At 52.3% G+C, this 16,175-nt stretch overlaps 7 annotated features.

Moving 5' to 3' along the window:
- Positions 3,902–4,482: an enhancer, noted in NCBI's record as "NANOG-H3K27ac-H3K4me1 hESC enhancer chr7:2913741-2914321 (GRCh37/hg19 assembly coordinates)". NCBI's record gives its function as "activates a minimal SCP1, AML or CMV promoter by ChIP-STARR-seq in naive H9 embryonic stem cells {active_cell/tissue: H9 hESC(naive)}" and the evidence as "EXISTENCE:reporter gene assay evidence [ECO:0000049][PMID:30033119]".
- Positions 6,314–6,965: an enhancer, noted in NCBI's record as "H3K27ac-H3K4me1 hESC enhancer chr7:2911258-2911909 (GRCh37/hg19 assembly coordinates)". NCBI's record gives its function as "activates a minimal SCP1, AML or CMV promoter by ChIP-STARR-seq in naive H9 embryonic stem cells {active_cell/tissue: H9 hESC(naive)}" and the evidence as "EXISTENCE:reporter gene assay evidence [ECO:0000049][PMID:30033119]".
- Positions 7,772–7,991: a silencer, noted in NCBI's record as "fragment chr7:2910232-2910451 (GRCh37/hg19 assembly coordinates)". NCBI's record gives its function as "represses an EF-1alpha promoter that drives an FKBP-Casp9 reporter gene in an ReSE screen in phorbol 12-myristate 13-acetate-treated (for megakaryocytic differentiation) K562 erythroleukemia cells {active_cell/tissue: K562(+PMA)}" and the evidence as "EXISTENCE:reporter gene assay evidence [ECO:0000049][PMID:32094911]".
- Positions 8,939–9,143: a silencer, noted in NCBI's record as "fragment chr7:2909080-2909284 (GRCh37/hg19 assembly coordinates)". NCBI's record gives its function as "represses an EF-1alpha promoter that drives an FKBP-Casp9 reporter gene in an ReSE screen in K562 erythroleukemia cells {active_cell/tissue: K562}" and the evidence as "EXISTENCE:reporter gene assay evidence [ECO:0000049][PMID:32094911]".
- Positions 13,894–13,973: a silencer, noted in NCBI's record as "silent region_17888". NCBI's record gives its function as "represses an Ori minimal core promoter by ATAC-STARR-seq in GM12878 lymphoblastoid cells {active_cell/tissue: GM12878}" and the evidence as "EXISTENCE:reporter gene assay evidence [ECO:0000049][PMID:35858748]".
- Positions 14,751–14,880: an enhancer, noted in NCBI's record as "active region_25555". NCBI's record gives its function as "activates an Ori minimal core promoter by ATAC-STARR-seq in GM12878 lymphoblastoid cells {active_cell/tissue: GM12878}" and the evidence as "EXISTENCE:reporter gene assay evidence [ECO:0000049][PMID:35858748]".
- Positions 15,529–16,175: an enhancer, noted in NCBI's record as "H3K27ac-H3K4me1 hESC enhancer chr7:2902048-2902694 (GRCh37/hg19 assembly coordinates)". NCBI's record gives its function as "activates a minimal SCP1, AML or CMV promoter by ChIP-STARR-seq in naive H9 embryonic stem cells {active_cell/tissue: H9 hESC(naive)}" and the evidence as "EXISTENCE:reporter gene assay evidence [ECO:0000049][PMID:30033119]".

Below are 16,175 nucleotides of genomic sequence, written 5' to 3'. Positions count from 1 at the left end.
TGTGCCTTGATGTTCTAAGCAACTTTGACTTCAGAACATTTTTTACTGCACCCACCCCCACCACAAAAAAAGGCCAGATCACCATCTTCTGGTGCCCAAAACCCCGTACTTCCTCCATGAACAACATCCCCCACTCATCCTAGGACCACCTGTTCACACATCTGTACCCCTACCCTGGACAGCACTAAGCTGTAAATTCATGAAGAGCAGAGGCTGGTCTTGGGTATAGATCCTCCAGCAGGGCCCAGCAGAGAGTAGGAGTTCAGTAAGTGATGTGGAATGAATGCATGAATTAAATAAAAGTTGGAAATAGAGTTCGGGTGCAGTGGTTCACATCAGTAATCCCAGCACTTCGGGAGGCCGAGGCAGGAGGATCGCCTGAGGCCAGGAGTTTGAGACAAGCCTGGGCAACATGGTGAAACCCCATCTCTACAAAAATACGAAAACGTTAGCCGGGACTGGGCATGGTGGTTCACGCCTGTAATCCTAGCACTTTGGGAGGCCCAGGCAGGTGGATCACTTGAGGTCAGGAGTTCGACACCAGCTTGGCCAACATGGTGAATTCCTGTCTCTACTAAAAATACAAAAAAATTAGCCAGGTGTGGTAGCATGCTCCTGTAATCCCAGCTACTTGGGAGGCTGAGGCAGGATAATCGCTTGAACCTGGGAGGCAGAGGCTGCAGTGAGCCGAGATCGTGCCACTGCACTCCAGCCTGGGCAACAGAGCAAAACTCTGTCTCAAAAAAAAAGAAAGAAAAAAAAAGATTATGCGGGCGGACATGGTGGCACGTGCCTGTAGTCCCAGCTACTCAAGAGGCTGAGGTGGGAGGATCACTTGAGCTCAGGAATTCCAGGCTACAATGAGCTATGATTGCACCACTGCACTCTAGCCTGGGCAACAGAGCAAGACCCTGTCTTGTAAGAAAATAAAAAAGAAAGAAAATAAATAGAACTGGACTTTGAACGATGGCTGGGAGAAAGTGAGGCAGATGTTCATACAGGGGTCCCCTCGCAAGTAAAGGCAAGAGGCAGAGAGGAGACGAAAAAGGAAGGTGCTGGGGGTCAATTGGCTGGGTGGGGCATGGCAAGAGGTGAACCTGGGGGGCTTAGGGTAAAGGGCTCCCTCCGTGAGTATTTCTTTTTTTTTTTATTGTTATTATTGAGATGGAGTCTCGCTCTGTCTCCCATGCTGGAGTGCAGTGGTATGACTTGGCTCACTGCAACCTCTGCCTCCTGGACTCAAGCAATCCTCCCCACTCAGCCTCCCAAGTAGGTGGGATTACAGGTGCCCACCACCACACCCAGCTAATTTTTCTGGTTTTGGTAGAGATGGGGTTTCACCATGTTGGCCAGGCTGGTCTGGAACTCCTGACCTCAAGTGATCCACTCACCTCAACTTCCCATAGTGCTGGGATTACAGGCGTGAGCCACCGCGCCCGGTCCTCCGTGAGTATTTCTGAGCACTCATTGAATGTGACCTGCGATGCCTGCTCCTGCACCAGGATGCAATTCCAGGACCTGGTCCCCAACCTGGAAGTTCAGGACCCAGCTCACCTCACTGGCAGGGCCCAGGCCAAGACCAGCCGGGGCACAGCCCGGGCACAGCTCCACGGGGCAGCCAGCATTCTCACCCTCTTGCACTGGGCCCTGACACTTCCAAGGTGACATCCTTCCCAGTCCTGTGTGCCCTTTGGTGGGACCAGGGATGCCAGCCCCTCCCCAAAGTGACCCCTGGAGGGGCCGGGCTATTCTCTGCTGGCTCACTGGGCTTCTTTGTGAGTTGAAATGTATTTTTTTTTCTCTTTCCTAATTAACTCCCTGCCACCCCACTTGCAGTAAAGTCTGATTTATCTCTGGCTCTCTGCATTCCGGGGACGGGCTATTTAATCTCAGCCGCGTGGACTCCAACCCACTGTCTCAATGAAATGCAGATCCTTCATCCTGCCAGCATCCTGCCAGCCCCACTCCATCCTCCTGCTGCCCGTGGGCTCAGCCAGCCCAAGCTGCCGCTGCCGTAAATTCTCTTTTATAATAACACCCTTTGCCCTTTGGCCACACCTGTCAGCACGGCCTGGGACTCTGCCGGGCCACAGCTGGCTGCTCACTTCTCTGGGCAAACCGGGCCTCAGGCAGCGCCCCGCTGGGAAGCCAGCAGCTGCCCCCAGGCGTCCACCTGCCTGGTCCCCTATGGCCAACACTCTTGGTGCTCAGCCAAGTCTAGAGGTTACCTGCAGGCAGTCCCCACATGAGCCCGCTGGGGTGTCCTCAGGCCAGGACCACACACAGACCGTTCACGGGGCAGGCCAGACCAATCTTTCTCCGCATGAATCAGCTCACTGCACTGCTCCTGCACCAGGGAGGGGCCGGAGTGGTACAGGAGGCTGATTCACGGGGAAAAAGAAGCCTGATTTGTAACATCCGCTGATGTCTGTGGTGTCAATACTCCCACCGTGGCTGATGGCCAGATAGTGATGTGATGCCTGTGAATGCCACATTGGGAGGAAAATCCCAGGGCTCCGAGACACCTCCAGGCAGGAGGGGGCGGGTCAATGCCGCAGCTCCTCACGCCTCACGGGGGCAATTCTCAAGCACATTCCACACAGCCTCTTGGAGGGAGGGGTGCCACCAAGACTGAGCCCCAAGTGCCTGCAGCTACAACCTTCTCTTGTGAGTTGAATTATATTCCCCAAAAGATATGCGCAAGTCCTAACCATTGGTAACTGCAAACATCACTTTATTTGGAAATAGCATCATTGCAGATGTAATTAGTTAGATGAGGATACACTGGAGTAGGAAGGGCCCTAGCCCGGTGAATGGAGTCCTTATCAGAAGAAGGAACTTGACCGGGCACAGTGGCTCACGCCTGTAATCCCAGCACTTTGGGAGGCCGAGGCAGGCGGATCACTTGAGGCCAGGAGTTTGAGACCAGCCTGACCAACATGGTGAAACCCTGTCTCTACTAAAAATATAAAAATTAGCCAGACATGGTGGCACATGCTTGTAATCCCAGCTACTCAGGAGGCTGAGGCAGGAGAATCGCTTGATCCTGGGAGGTGGAGGTGATCCTGGGAGGTCAGCCGAGATTGCATCACTGCACTCCAGCCTGGGTGACAGAGTAAGACTGTGTCTCAAAAAAAAGAAGATGAAGATGAAAATTTAGACCCAGACACACAGAGAGAACATCCTGTGAAGACACAGTCGCACCCATGCATGGGGAAGAAGGTCGCGTGATGACGGGGGCAGAGATTGGAGCGAGGCATTCACAAACCAAGGAATGCTGGGAGCTTCCAGAAGCAGGAAGAGACAGGACGGATCCCCCTAGAGCTTCCAGGAGGACAAGGGCCTGCAGACACCTTGAATTTGGGCTTCTGGCCTTTAGAAAAGTAAGAAAACAAACTATGGTTGTTTTCAGTCACTCCGTTGTGATTTGTTACAGCAGTAAAAGGAAGTTCACATGCCTTCCATGTCTTACCCTTAATAGCCTTCCTCCCGCCCTGTCTCAGCTCTCACGTCTTTATGGTGTTCCTGGGGTCACCTCCCAAATAAACCACCTGAACCTGTGTCCTTGTCTGAGAGTCAAGGAGCACATTGGACTCACAATCTGAAAGTCCTGCTCCAGGTCCAGCCTCACCATGCCCAGGTGTGGTACCGTGGGCAAATCCCACACCACACCCCACCCCTGCCTCATCATCTGTAAGTGGGACATTAAGGACTCCAACAGGAGAAGGTTGCTGTGTCGGCGGGTGCAGTGGCTCACGCCTGTAATCCAGCACTTTGGGAGGCCAAAGTGGGAGGATCACTTGAGGCCAGGAGTTTGAGACCAGCTGGGCAACACAGGGAGACCCCATCTCTACAAAAATTTAAAAGTTAGACAGGGCTGCTGGTGTGAGCTTGTGGTCCCAGCTACTCAGGAAGCTGAGGCAGGAGGATCACTTGAGCCCCAGGAGTTTGAGGCTGCAGTGAGCCACGATGGTGCCACTGCACTCCAGCCTGGGTGTCAGAATGAGACTTTCTCAAAAAGCAAAACACAAAACAAAACAAAACAAATGGTCACTGTGAATGAAAGTGTTGTGGCCTGAACAGATATGCAGTTGTGTTGACAGCCTGCCCAGGAAAGCTTGCATCAAAAGCTCACACAGCCAAGTGACTTTGACCCTCCCTTCTCCTGTGGTCCTCTGAGTCCCTAAAGGATGACTGGCAGGCAGGTTGCCCTCATCAACACATCACCATTTGGGGCCTCCCAAGTCCCCACCCAACATTCTCATCCACCTGCCTTTGGTCTCTGATGGTTCTTGGGGGTCTTCCTCCCACAGAAGCAGGGGTTTGATCAGTTTTGGCCAGGTGGCTGTATCATCCCCGAAGAAAGCAAAAGGACCTGTATGTTACCCCCACACAGAACAGAGTAGATAAAGCAAGGATGGAGGAGAATAAAATCTACTTCAATCTACCGTCATTATGAAAAACATTGTTTCATCTCCCGCAGGCTCTTCCTGAGTTTTCCCATGATGCCCAACTCTTCTCTTAGTTATGGTGAGTTCTTTTTTGTTGTTGTTGTTGTGGAGGGATTTTTTTCTCCTCCCTACACTTGTCTTCCATGGCCCGTACCTCTCCACCGCATCTGACAATCTGCACATGTTTAAAACCATGTTGGACATGGGGTTTAAATTTCTTCCCAGGAGACTCCTGGGCCATATGCAAATCAGAGGGCTGTGGCTAAAGCCAGGAGGAGCAAACAGGAAAACAACAGAAAGGATTTTCTAATTCCATAGGCCAGTCTAGATCCTGTACATGAGTCAGCTTTGGCTGCATAACAGCCGCGAAAACCTCAGCTGCAGAAAACAGTATGTATTTCTTGCATCCTGATGACTTAGACTGGACTCCCTGGGCTTGGCTCCAAACTGCAGGTGAGGCTCAGCCCTGTGGCCTGGCAGGCTAGCCCAGGGCTGTTCTTCTCATGGCGAAAAAGAGGTGGGCAAGAAGGCAAGCCCCATTAAGAAGTGCGTGTCAAGCCTCTGCTCCTGCTACATCCCCCTCAACAGCCCACTGCCCAAAGCAATCTCTCAGCAAAGCCCAAACTCGAGGTGCAGGGAAGGGAACAGTCATGAATGATAACAGCACCCGCCACTGCCCACAACATATGCACATCACAGAGTTTGGTGCTCCAGTTCTCATCACAGCATAAACTTGCTGACCGAGTTTCCGACAGTTGAGACCAGACATCATTGACTTTGCGGGAAGAAAGCCCTGGCTTCTCTCTACTGAAGTGTCGCTCCAGTCTGGCCTCTTGCCAGGACAGAGGAGGTCATCCCTGACGGAACTGTGATCAGCGTCTCTCAGCCTCAGTCCCTGCTGACATATCCTCAGAACCTTGCTATACTGGACCTCACAATGAATAATCAGGCGATGAATAATCAGACCTCTTCTCGCCATGGCCAGAGCCTAACTGGGGAGACAGGTGAGCCTGCCCTCCATGCAGAAACAAAAATAAGCACCAGAGCAAAGGTACAGGCCAAGTGTCCTGAACACTTAAGGATGGGGTGGGCCGGGCGCGGTGGCCCACGCCTGTAATCCCAGCACTTTGGGAGGCCGAGGTAGGTGGATCATCTGAGGTCAGGAGCTCGAGACCAGCCTGACCAACATGGTGAAACCCCAACTCTAATAAAAATACAAAATTACCCGGGCGTGGTGGCACATGCCTGTAATCCCAGCTACTTGGGAGGCTGAGGCAGGAGAATTGCTTGAACCCAGGAGGCAGAGGTTGCAGTGAGCCGAGATCGCGCCATTGTACTCCAGCCTGGGCAACAAGAGCGAAACAACATCTCAAAAAAGAAAGAAAAAAAAAAGGATGGGGTGAGGAAGTTGATGCATGCAAATGGGAAGGAAGGAACATCTGGGCTGGGTTTCAAAGGGTGAGTAGGAGTCTGACAAACAGGAGAGGAAGGACACATCCTGGGGAGAGCAAGAACAAGGCCTGAGCATGGGCAACTTACATGGCTTTTTTTTAAATTATTTTTTGTCTGTTTCAGGATTTGTGTGCAGGGCAGGACCATCTTGCCGGAAGCGTGCTGTTACCATGGCACCCAACACGGCATCTGGTGTTACGTGAACATCCTCCTCTGACTGCGAACAGATGGGTGGATTGTTTTTCCAGAAGGATGAGCTCTATTTCATGATGAAAATCACCCAGGTGTTTTTGCACAAATCATAGGTTTAGTCCCCCAGATGCGTTTTTTACTGAAGTCTCTGGCTGTGTTCCTCACAGCCCAGAGGCCTGATGTGCTCTCTGTCTGCATTCAGCCACCGTCTGGGTGTGGGACTCAGAGTGAGCCTCAGCCCAAGTACCGCCACCCCATGTGGAGTGAGGAGATTGCACTAGACCGGTGGTGTTTCTCAAACTTGGACCACTGGTGTTTCTCAAACTTGGACCACTGGTGTTTCTCAAACTTGGATGGGTGTAAGAATCATCAGGAAAGTTCATAACATGCGGATTCTTGGACTCTACCTCCAGGTATATTTTGATTCTACAGGTCTGGGCTTGAGGCCTGAGTATCTGTGTTTCTAATAAGCTCTTGGGGGATGCTGCTGGCTTAGGGTCACTCTGGACTCAGACCCCAGACCCCTGCTCACCTGGACCTTCTCCAAACCTTGCACTGGAGAGAAGGTTCTTGAACCTCATCCTGGGGCAGGCACCCATTCCCTGAGAATCCCACTCTACCAGACCTCAAAATGAATAATCAGGCAATGAATAAGCAGATCCCCTCCCACCATGGCCCCAGCCTAACTGTGGAGACAGGCAAGCCTGCTCTCCATGCAGGAACAAAAATCAGTGCTAGAACAAAGGCACAGATCGAGCTGTATCTGGCAGGAGTGGTCAGAATGCCAGAGAGAGAGAGCTCAGGCAGCATTCCCAAGGCAGGTGGTAGACCCAGGGCCCCAGGGAGCGTTCAGCCAGTGGCAGGGGTTTGGGTTGAGCTGGTCTGCCCACTGGAATCAAAGTGGGCTGGGACACAGGACCAGAGTCCCAAATACAACCCTCGGGCTCTGCAAGCCTGGCCCATGTCACGTTCACTGCGCCCGCAAGCCATGAGTCCTGCCCTCAACTTGCGCCTGTGATGCTGTCCTCATCCAGTCCCAGAGAGATGATCCACCTCGGGGCCCTGCATAAGCCCTGGCCTCTGACACTCAGCCCCCATCTCCTTTACACTGGAAATGTCTCAGGTGTCAGCCCTCTCCAGGAAGCCTCCCTGACCCCAGTCCCTTGGTCGGTGCTCCCTGACCCCAGTCCCTTGGTCGGTCCATTGCCTAGGATGGAGTGCAGTGGTGCGATCTCATCTCACTGCAACCTCCGCCTCCCAGGTCCAAGCGATCCTCCTGCCTCAGCCTTCCCCGTGGCTGGGGCTGCAGGCAGGCACCACCACGCCCTGCTAATTTGTGTATTTTTAGTAGAGATGGGGTTTCACCATGTTGGCCACGCTGGTCTCAAACTCCTGACCTCAGGTGATCCACCCGCCTCAGCCTCCCAAAGTGTTGGAATTACAGGCGTGAGCCACCGGCCCCGGCATTTGGTCAGTGCTTTGATGCATGTGTCACATCAGCCTTTGTGTCACCGTCGGGGTGGCCCTGGAGGTGCACGGCTCTGCTTTCCCTCCCAGAGTCACCCTCCACAGGAATGCAGTAGCACCTGGGGCCTGGCAGCTCCTGCCCCACCCGGGACCTTGCTAGAGCTCCCCGTGGGCCTGGAGAGGACTTTCTCACAGCTGCACTGCAGCCTGGGGCTCCTCCCACTTAACCCTCCTTCCTTCCTCTTCTCCTCTGGCAAACACAAGCCCTGCGTCACGGTTGGAAGTTGGTCCCCGCCCACCCTGCATCCTCTCCCTGTATCCTGCTTGGGCATTGCGTTTCATCAATCTCTTGCTCATTTCTTCTGTCTTGACGTCTGCCTCCCAGATGACCAAAGTGACACAGGTAACGAAATGAGTCTCTCTAATGAGTTCCCTAAAGTCCTGGGCCTCCGAGGGCTGCAGGCCCTGCCTCCTCTTACTCATCGCTGACTCCAGGCACCTGGCCTAGAGCTTCACAGGGGCTCAATAGCTTCCTGTCCTGCTCAGGCAGAGAGGGGCAGGCAGGGAGGGTCTCACACTCCAGGGAAGGGTGCTGCCTTTGCAGAGTTGAAGTGGAGTGTGTAGGGGGTGGTGGGGGAGTCCTGGGAGACCGTCAGCCACTCCTTGTGCACGTGGGAAAGGGGGACCCGGACAGGACGGGAGGACGCAGGGTGTGAACAGCATCGGACCCCACAAAGCACCCCTGGCGCACAGAGGTAAGGTCTGCTGGCTCAGGTATCACTAAAAGCCACAGAGTGGCTCACCAAGCCCAACAGGGCCCAGACCAGGCGCTCAGCTCTCACTAGGTCCGATCCCCGCCTCGCCTCTGAGCTGTAGCCCTCTGTGCAGGGGGGGCGCACTCCTGCCCATGGCAGACAGACCCCTCCACTGGGACACACGGGGCCACCACAGCCCAGCGCCCTCTTTCTCCTCCAGGCAGGGTGGACTCTCCTGGGTGGAGACTGATATGGTGAGGCTTTGCGCCTCACCCAAATCTCATCTTTTTTTTTTTTCCTTTGAGACTGAGTCTGGCTCTGTCACCCAGGCTGGTGTGATCTCGGCTCACTGCAGCCTCTGCCTCTCGGGTTCAAGCGATTCTCCTGCCACAGCCTCCCACGTAGCTGGGACTACAGGCACGCACCATCACTTCTGGCTAATTTTTGTATTTTTAGTAGAGACAAGGTTTCGCCATGTTGGCCAGGCTGGTCTCGAACTCCTGACCTCAAGTGATCTGCCCACTTCGGCCTCCCAAAGTGCTGGGATTACAGGTGTGAACCACCGCACCCGGCCCCAAATCTCATCTTGAACTGTAATCCCCATAATCTCCACTGAGTCATGGGAGAGACCAAGTGGAGGTCATTGAGTCACGGGGATAGATTTCCCCCAAGCTGTTCTCGTGAGAGTGGCTGAGTTTTCAGGAGATCTGATGGTTTTACAAGGGGCTCTTCCCGCTTCACTCAGCACTTCACCCTCCTGCCACTTTATGAAGAAGGTCCTTGCTTCCTCTTCACCTTCCATCATGATTGTAAGTTTCTTGAGGCCTCCCAGCCATGCTGAACTGTGAGTCAATTCAACCTCTTTTCCTTTATAAATCACCCAGTCTCAGGCAGTTCTTTATAGCAGGGTGAAAACAGACTAATACATAGGCCTACCCCTTGGGCCACGTTACTGTTGCCAAAGATGTGAAGAGGTCCGGGTTACAGGACCATGCCCCTGGGTGGGTGTGTGGGTGGGTGTGTGGGTGGGTGTGTGCACGTGCGTGCCTGCAATGCTCCTGTGACTATGCGTGGCTGTGGTGTACGTGCGTTCGTATGTGACTCCATGGGGTACATCCGCGTGTGTATGTGTTTGTGTATGGCTTGGAAAGGCCCCACCAGAACTGGAATGGAACATGGGGAATCCCCTAGAGGAAACTGGAAGCCTCTGCTTTAAGGGTTATGATATGTTAATTCGCTGCGTTTAATCATTCTACGACGTATACATGGATCGAAGCATCACACGGTGCCCCTTAAATAGACGTAATTATTATTTGTCAATTACAGAAAGAAAGAATTGCCCTAAATTAATTAACAAATGCAGCATTTGCTAGCGAACTAGGAAATAAGGTGGAGAAAACAAGATTTAACCCTTATTTAAATCGAGACATCTTGTATTTTGAAAATGCAATCGAGTATTTTATTTTTAATAGAGATGAGGTTTCACCATGTAGACAGATTTTAAGTGTTCTCACTACAAAAAATAATAAGCATGGGAGGAATGCATATGTTAATTTGCTTGATTGAACCATTCTACAAGGTATGCGTATTTCAAAACATTGTGTTGTACATGATAAACATATCAATTGCTATTTGTCCATTTAAAGTAATATAAATAGCTGGGCACAGTGGCTCACACCTGTAATCCCAACAGTTTGAGAAGCCAAGGCAGGAGGATCACTTGAGCCCAGGAGTTCAAGATCAACCTGGGCAACAAAGTGAGACCCCCATCTCTACAAAAGTCAAAATAAAATTAGCCAGGTGTGGTGGTGAACACCTGTAGTCCCAGCCACTTGGGAGGCTGAGGTGGGTGGATCACTTGAGCCCAGGAGGTAGAGGCTGCAGTGAGCTGTGACTGCGCCACTGTACTCCACCCTGGATGACAGAGTGAGATCCTGTTTCAAAAAAATTTTTTTAATTAAAAATATAAATAGGCCAGCACAGTGGCTCACACCTGTAATCCCAGCATTTTGGGAGGCCAAGGCGGGCAGATCACTTGAGGTTAGGAGTTTGAGACAAGCCTGGCCAATATGGTGAAACCCTGTCTCTGCTGAAAATACAAAAATTAGGCTGGTCGCAGTGGCTCACACCTGTAATCTCAGCACTGTGGGAGGCCAAGGCAGGTGGATCGCCTGAAGTCAACTGTTCCAGACCAGCCTGGCCCACATGGCAAAACCCCTCCTCTACTAAAAATACAAAAATTAGCATGGTATGGTGGCACATGCCTGTAATCCTAGCTATTCAGGAGGCTGAGGCGGGAGAATCGCTTGAACACAGAAAGCAGTTAGCTGGGATTGCACCACTGCACTCCAGCCTGGGCAACAGAGCAAGATTCTGTCTCAAAAAAAAAATTTTACATGTATATACATATATATGTGTGTGTGTGTGTGTGTGTGTGTGTATATATATGAATATTTATAGGCTGGGCACAGTGGCTCACACCTTTAATCCCAGCACTTTGGGAGTCTGACGCAAGTGGATCACCTAAGCTCAGGAGTTTGAAACCAGCCTGGCCAACATGGTGAAACCCCGTCTCTACTAAAAATACAAAAATTAGCTGTGCATGGTGGTGCTTGCCTGTAATCCCAGCTACTTGGGAGGCTGAGGCAGGAGAATTGCTTGAACCCGGGAGGCGAAGATTGCAGTGAGCTGAGATCACACCACTGTACTCCAACCTGGGCAACAGAGCGAGACTCCATCTAAAAAAAAAAATATCTATCTATCTATCTATCTATATATATATATATATAGAGAGAGAGAGAGAGAGAGAGAGAGGCATTTAACAGGAAGAAAAGAACGCAAAATTGTGACCACTATGTTATAAAGGAAAATGTAGTACCCCACCCCCAGGCTGCAGGGGAGGAGGAAGCCCACATGTGCTGGATACCTGGAGATAGGTGGTGATATGGTTTGGATGTGTGTCCCTCCAAATCTCATGTTGGAATGTGATCCCCAGTGTTGGAGGCAGGGCCTGGTGGGAGGTGTTGGATCACGGCAGGCAGACCCCTCACGAGTGGCTTAGCCACATTCGCTTGGTGATGAGTGAGTTTTTGCTCAGTTTACATGAGATCTGGTTGTTTAAGAATCTGGGTTTAAGAGCTCTGGTCGTTTAAGAGTCTGGGGCCTCCCCCTTCTCTCTCTCACTCCTGCCGCCTGTACCTTCCGCCATGATTGGAAGCTTCCGGAGACCTCACTAGAAGCAGAAGGCAGCACCGCACTTCCTATACAGCCTGCAGAACTGTGAGCCAATTAAACCCCTTTTCTTTATCAATTACCCAGTCTCAGGTACTCCTTTATAGCAATGCAAGAACAAACTGGCACAGATGGCACCCAGGGAAATGGGAAGCCAACCCAGGGAATGGGAAGTCAACCTTCCACCCAGGGAAGGGCACATCTCACTAACACAGAAGGCACCTGGCAGGGGTCCAAGAAAGACGGTCCCCAAGTCTCCCATGGCCCCCATGGGAGCACGGGAGGATGTGAGGCCGGGAAATTAGTCAGGGACTGCTAGCAAGATGCAGAGAAAATGCCCTCCACAGAGAACCAGGCACCTCTGGGATAACCAGCATGGAGGGTGGGGGATGGCACATGACAATGTCCCTCCAGGAGACATCTGTGTTGGAGGGGGAACTGGAGCCTCCCCAGGGCCATAAGTTTATACCACCCCCTAGAGCATACCTGCCACGCCAGGTGAGCAAAGGAATGCTCAGAATTGAGCTTAAATGACCAAGTTCATCTGGAATTGGCCAAGATGACATTTTCCATCATCAGTCTGAAAAGGGGCTGGAAATAACGATTAGGTTGGGTCACAGAAAAACACAGTCCTAGCCGGGTACAGTGGCTCATACCTGTAATCCCAGCACTTTGGGAGGCTAAGGTAGGAGGATCCTTTGAGCTCAGGAGTTCAAGACCAGCCTGAGCAATATGGCAAAACCCCGTCTCTACAAAAAATATAAAAAATTAATGAGTCAGGTGTGGTGTCAAGCACCTCTGGTCCCAGCTACTCAAGAGGCTGAGGTGAGAGGACCGCTTGCGCCCTGGAGGTTGAGGCTGCAATGAGCTGTGATCCCACCACTGCACTCCAGCCTGGGCAACAAAGCGAGACCCTGTCTCAAATAAAAGAAAAAAGGGCCAGGCGTGGTGGCTCACACCTGTAATCCCAGCACTTTGGGAGGCCAAGGCATGTGGTTCACTTGAGATCAGCAGTTCAAGACCAGCCTTACCAACATGGTGAAACCTTATCTCTACTAAAAATACAAAAATTAGCTGAGCGTGGTGGTGGGCACCTGTTATCTCCAGCCTGGGCGACAGAGAGACTTGGTTTCAAAAAAAAAAAGAAAGAAAAAAAAAAGGAAAAAAACACAGCCCTGGTTTTGCTTCACTCAAGTACATGGAATAAGAAACGCTTGCCTGCTGGCCAAGTGACCCTCCCACAGCGGTCAGGAAGCTTCTAGAACCCGGTTATGTTGGCTGAAAGCAGAAATGGCCAAGTCAACCTCAGTGTGATATTGAGGGGGCTCCTGGGGCTGGAAGCATGCACCCCAAACTTAGACCCCGGCAAAAGGAGTGGGGAAGATGCCGGTGCCATGAGGGCAGGAAGCTGAGTTTGTTGCTAGGGGCCTGGGAGTGTTCCCGGAGGACGGGAGCCCTGTGAGGGGCATCTGGCGGCTGACACTGATGAATGGCTGTGCCGGGCCAGCCTTACCTGGGCAGCCAAGGCCAAAGCTTGGGGGCAGGAGGAGTGGCAGTGACACGGCTGCAGCTGGATGGAATCCGGGGCCTGAACCCCAGCATCCCCTCCCTGACACCCTACAGCTACCCATAGCCGGGGAGGTGGGGAGGTGCCGGCCCTCGGCCCACAATGCTGATCACATCTGTCTGGTTCTGAGGAGGAAATCCAGGACCTAATGAGAACAAATGGCAGCCTGGATAACTCATCTGTGGTCACAGATGAGATTTCCCCACCCGCTGCACCCCTAATTCAGCAGAGGCCATCTATGGGTTTCCTTGTGTGGCATGAGCGACACCTGGTGGTCACAGATGGGAATTTCGAGTCATGTTCTTCAGGCTGCTTGGGACACCCCACCTGGACCCCATCCCACTCTGGGCAAAGGCAAGACCACCACTGAGCTCAGGGTGCACCTGAGACTTGGCCGCAGCAAGGAGATGTAGATACAAGGATCACGTCAGAAGACGTTTCATTCATTCATTCACGTTCCCAAGCATTTAGTGAGCGCATACCAGGTATCAGGAAGAGATGAACAAAATGGTTTTATGAAGTTTGCATCCTAATGAGGAAAGCAGATAACAAGCATGTAAATATCAGATAATTCCTTACTGTTAAGTGCTGTGAGAATTCACAAGGTTCAGAAATTGAGTCAAAAATCTTTCTCAGTACCCTCAATAAGCTTCATCTCAGGCCGGGCGCAGTGGCTCACGCCTGTAATCCCAACACTTCAGGAGGCCGAGGCGGGGTGATAACTTGAGGTCAGGAGTTTGAGACCAGCCTGGCCGACAGTGAAACCCCGTCTCTACCAAAAAATAGAAAAATTAGCCAAGCGTGGTGGCACATGCCTGTAGTCACAACTACTCGGGAGGCTGAGGTGGGAGAATCATTTGAACCTAGGAGGCAGAGGTTGTAGTGAGCTGAGATCTTGCCACTGCACTCCAGCCTGGGCAACAGAGAGAGACTCTATCAAAAAAAAAAAAAGTGTAAGCCTCATCTTAGCTGAATCCCTGGACACTTACCTTGCCACAGGTCCCAGGCCCCAACCTCAGGAACTTTATATGGACTCTTGCGAAAGTGAGGCAGTGGAGTGACTGGGCAACGGATGTGGAATCAGGAAGACCTTGGGTTCCAATCCTGACTCTGCCACCTCCTAATTTTGTGGCCTTGGGCACATTACCTACCTTGTCTCAGCCTGTTTCCTCAACAGAGAAAAATGGGAATTACAACAGGACCTTATTACAGGACCTACCTCCTAGTTACAAAACTTAATGCCATAACTTACGGTCAGAAAAGTGCTTGGAGCATCTCCAGACCCAGAGAACCACTTGCAGTAAATATTAGCTGCTATTGTTATTGATATTACTATTGTGCCGACACTCCAGACCTTCTCCTCCTCCTCCTCTTCCTCCTCTTCCCCTCCCAACCCCAGAAGCCAGGAGAAAGAGGAAGGACCGCAGCCAGTCCCCCCGACCTCTCCCCTCCTTCTCCAGGGCTCTCCGGCCAAGGCTAAGCCAGCCCTTCAGTGGGGGACAAGATGAGTGCGAAATTGCATGTGAGATGGCAGTTTCAGACTCAACCAGACTGGCCTTTCTATTGCCCAGAATTACCCAAGCTGAGGCTAAGGGACAGGAAGCAGAGATTGGAAAGGGCAGGGCTGACGGGAGTGAGTCACTGGTGGGGAGAAAATGAACCACTTCCTGTGTGTTCCCACAGAGGTCAGGGCCCTCAGCAAACAGCGACAGGCTACAGGCTCGTTCTCCGGGCCTGGAGGAGGCTCGGTGCCCAGCGTCTCCGGAGGACTGGCTCTTCCCTCCGCCTGGGGAGTTTGCGGGCCCCAGACACAATCCCCAGGGAGGGGCTCGGCTCTGGACAGCCTTGGCCTCTTTCCCCAGATTTCCCCAGCACTCACACTCTCGGGAGGCTCAGGGTCTGTACTGAGAAGGGCCCTTGCTCGGCGTGGTGCTCTGCTGTGGCTGTTTTGAAATTCGTAATACTTTTTGGACAAGAGGCCCCACATTTTCATTTTGCACAAATTGTGCAGCCGGTCCTGAATCATTGCTGGCTTTCCAAGGTCACAGCCAGCAAATGGAACTAACTCCAGGGCTCCTGGTCATCTGTGCCCCCACAGATACCTTCTGGGGGTCTCTGAGGTCAGGCGCCCTCACCCTCCTCCTTCCCTGGAACACGGGCGACCACTGCCCACTTTGCCGCTGCGGCACCCTGAGCGCCGTGGCCCGTGCAGACCACCAGAGGAAGGATCCCGGGAGCCAGGACAGGGCAAGGAGGTTACTTGTTGGGGCAGAAACATGGCTACTGGTCCCCTAGGGCAGAGAAGACTGCAGGAAGTGGGGAAACCTGCCAGACAGCCACCCTGGGAGAGGAGGAAGACCTGTCATCCAGTAGCAAAAAATGCAAGTTCCGTGGTGGTCTAGCGGTTACAGGGAGGGAAAAAAATGCAAACACTTAGCGAGCACTGCCAAGGCGACCGGCATGTTCTGAGTTCATTCTCTGCATTTACCCCTTTATCTCCACCGGGTCACTTCCGTTTTACAGAATAGAAAACCAAGGGCCGGGTGCGGTGGCGCACACTTATAATCCCAGCACTTTGGGAGGCCGAGGAGGGCGCATTGTGAGGTAAGGAGTTCGAGACCAGCCTGGCCAACATAGTGAAACCCCGTCTCTACTAAAAATACAAAAATTAGCCAGGCGTGATGGCACACAACTGTAATCCCAGCTACTCAGGAGGCTGAGGCAGGGGAATTGCTCAAACCCGGGAGGTGGAGGTTGTGGTGAGCCAAGATCCTGCCACTGCACTCCAGCCTGGGCAACAGAGAGAGACTCCGTCTCGGGAAAAAAAAAAAAAGAAAACAAGGCACAGGGAGGTAAGGAAGTTGTTCAAGAGCCTACAGAGCTAGTGCCTGGCAGAGCTGGGGTCTACGCCAGGATGCACTTTGCACCCTGCCTGTTCTCCATACGTTAACTCGAATCTGTCCAATAACCGTACAGCACTTATTAGTACTGACCGATCATCTGTGATGTCTTAAGGGTAATGGGTAGAATTGTACTTCCTGGGACCTTAGCTGGGAGAGG

This window comes from Homo sapiens, chromosome 7 (genome assembly GCF_000001405.40).
Source record: "Homo sapiens chromosome 7, GRCh38.p14 Primary Assembly".
NCBI classification, from domain to species: Eukaryota; Metazoa; Chordata; class Mammalia; order Primates; family Hominidae; genus Homo; species Homo sapiens.
This window is presented reverse-complemented; position numbering and strand designations above follow the sequence as displayed.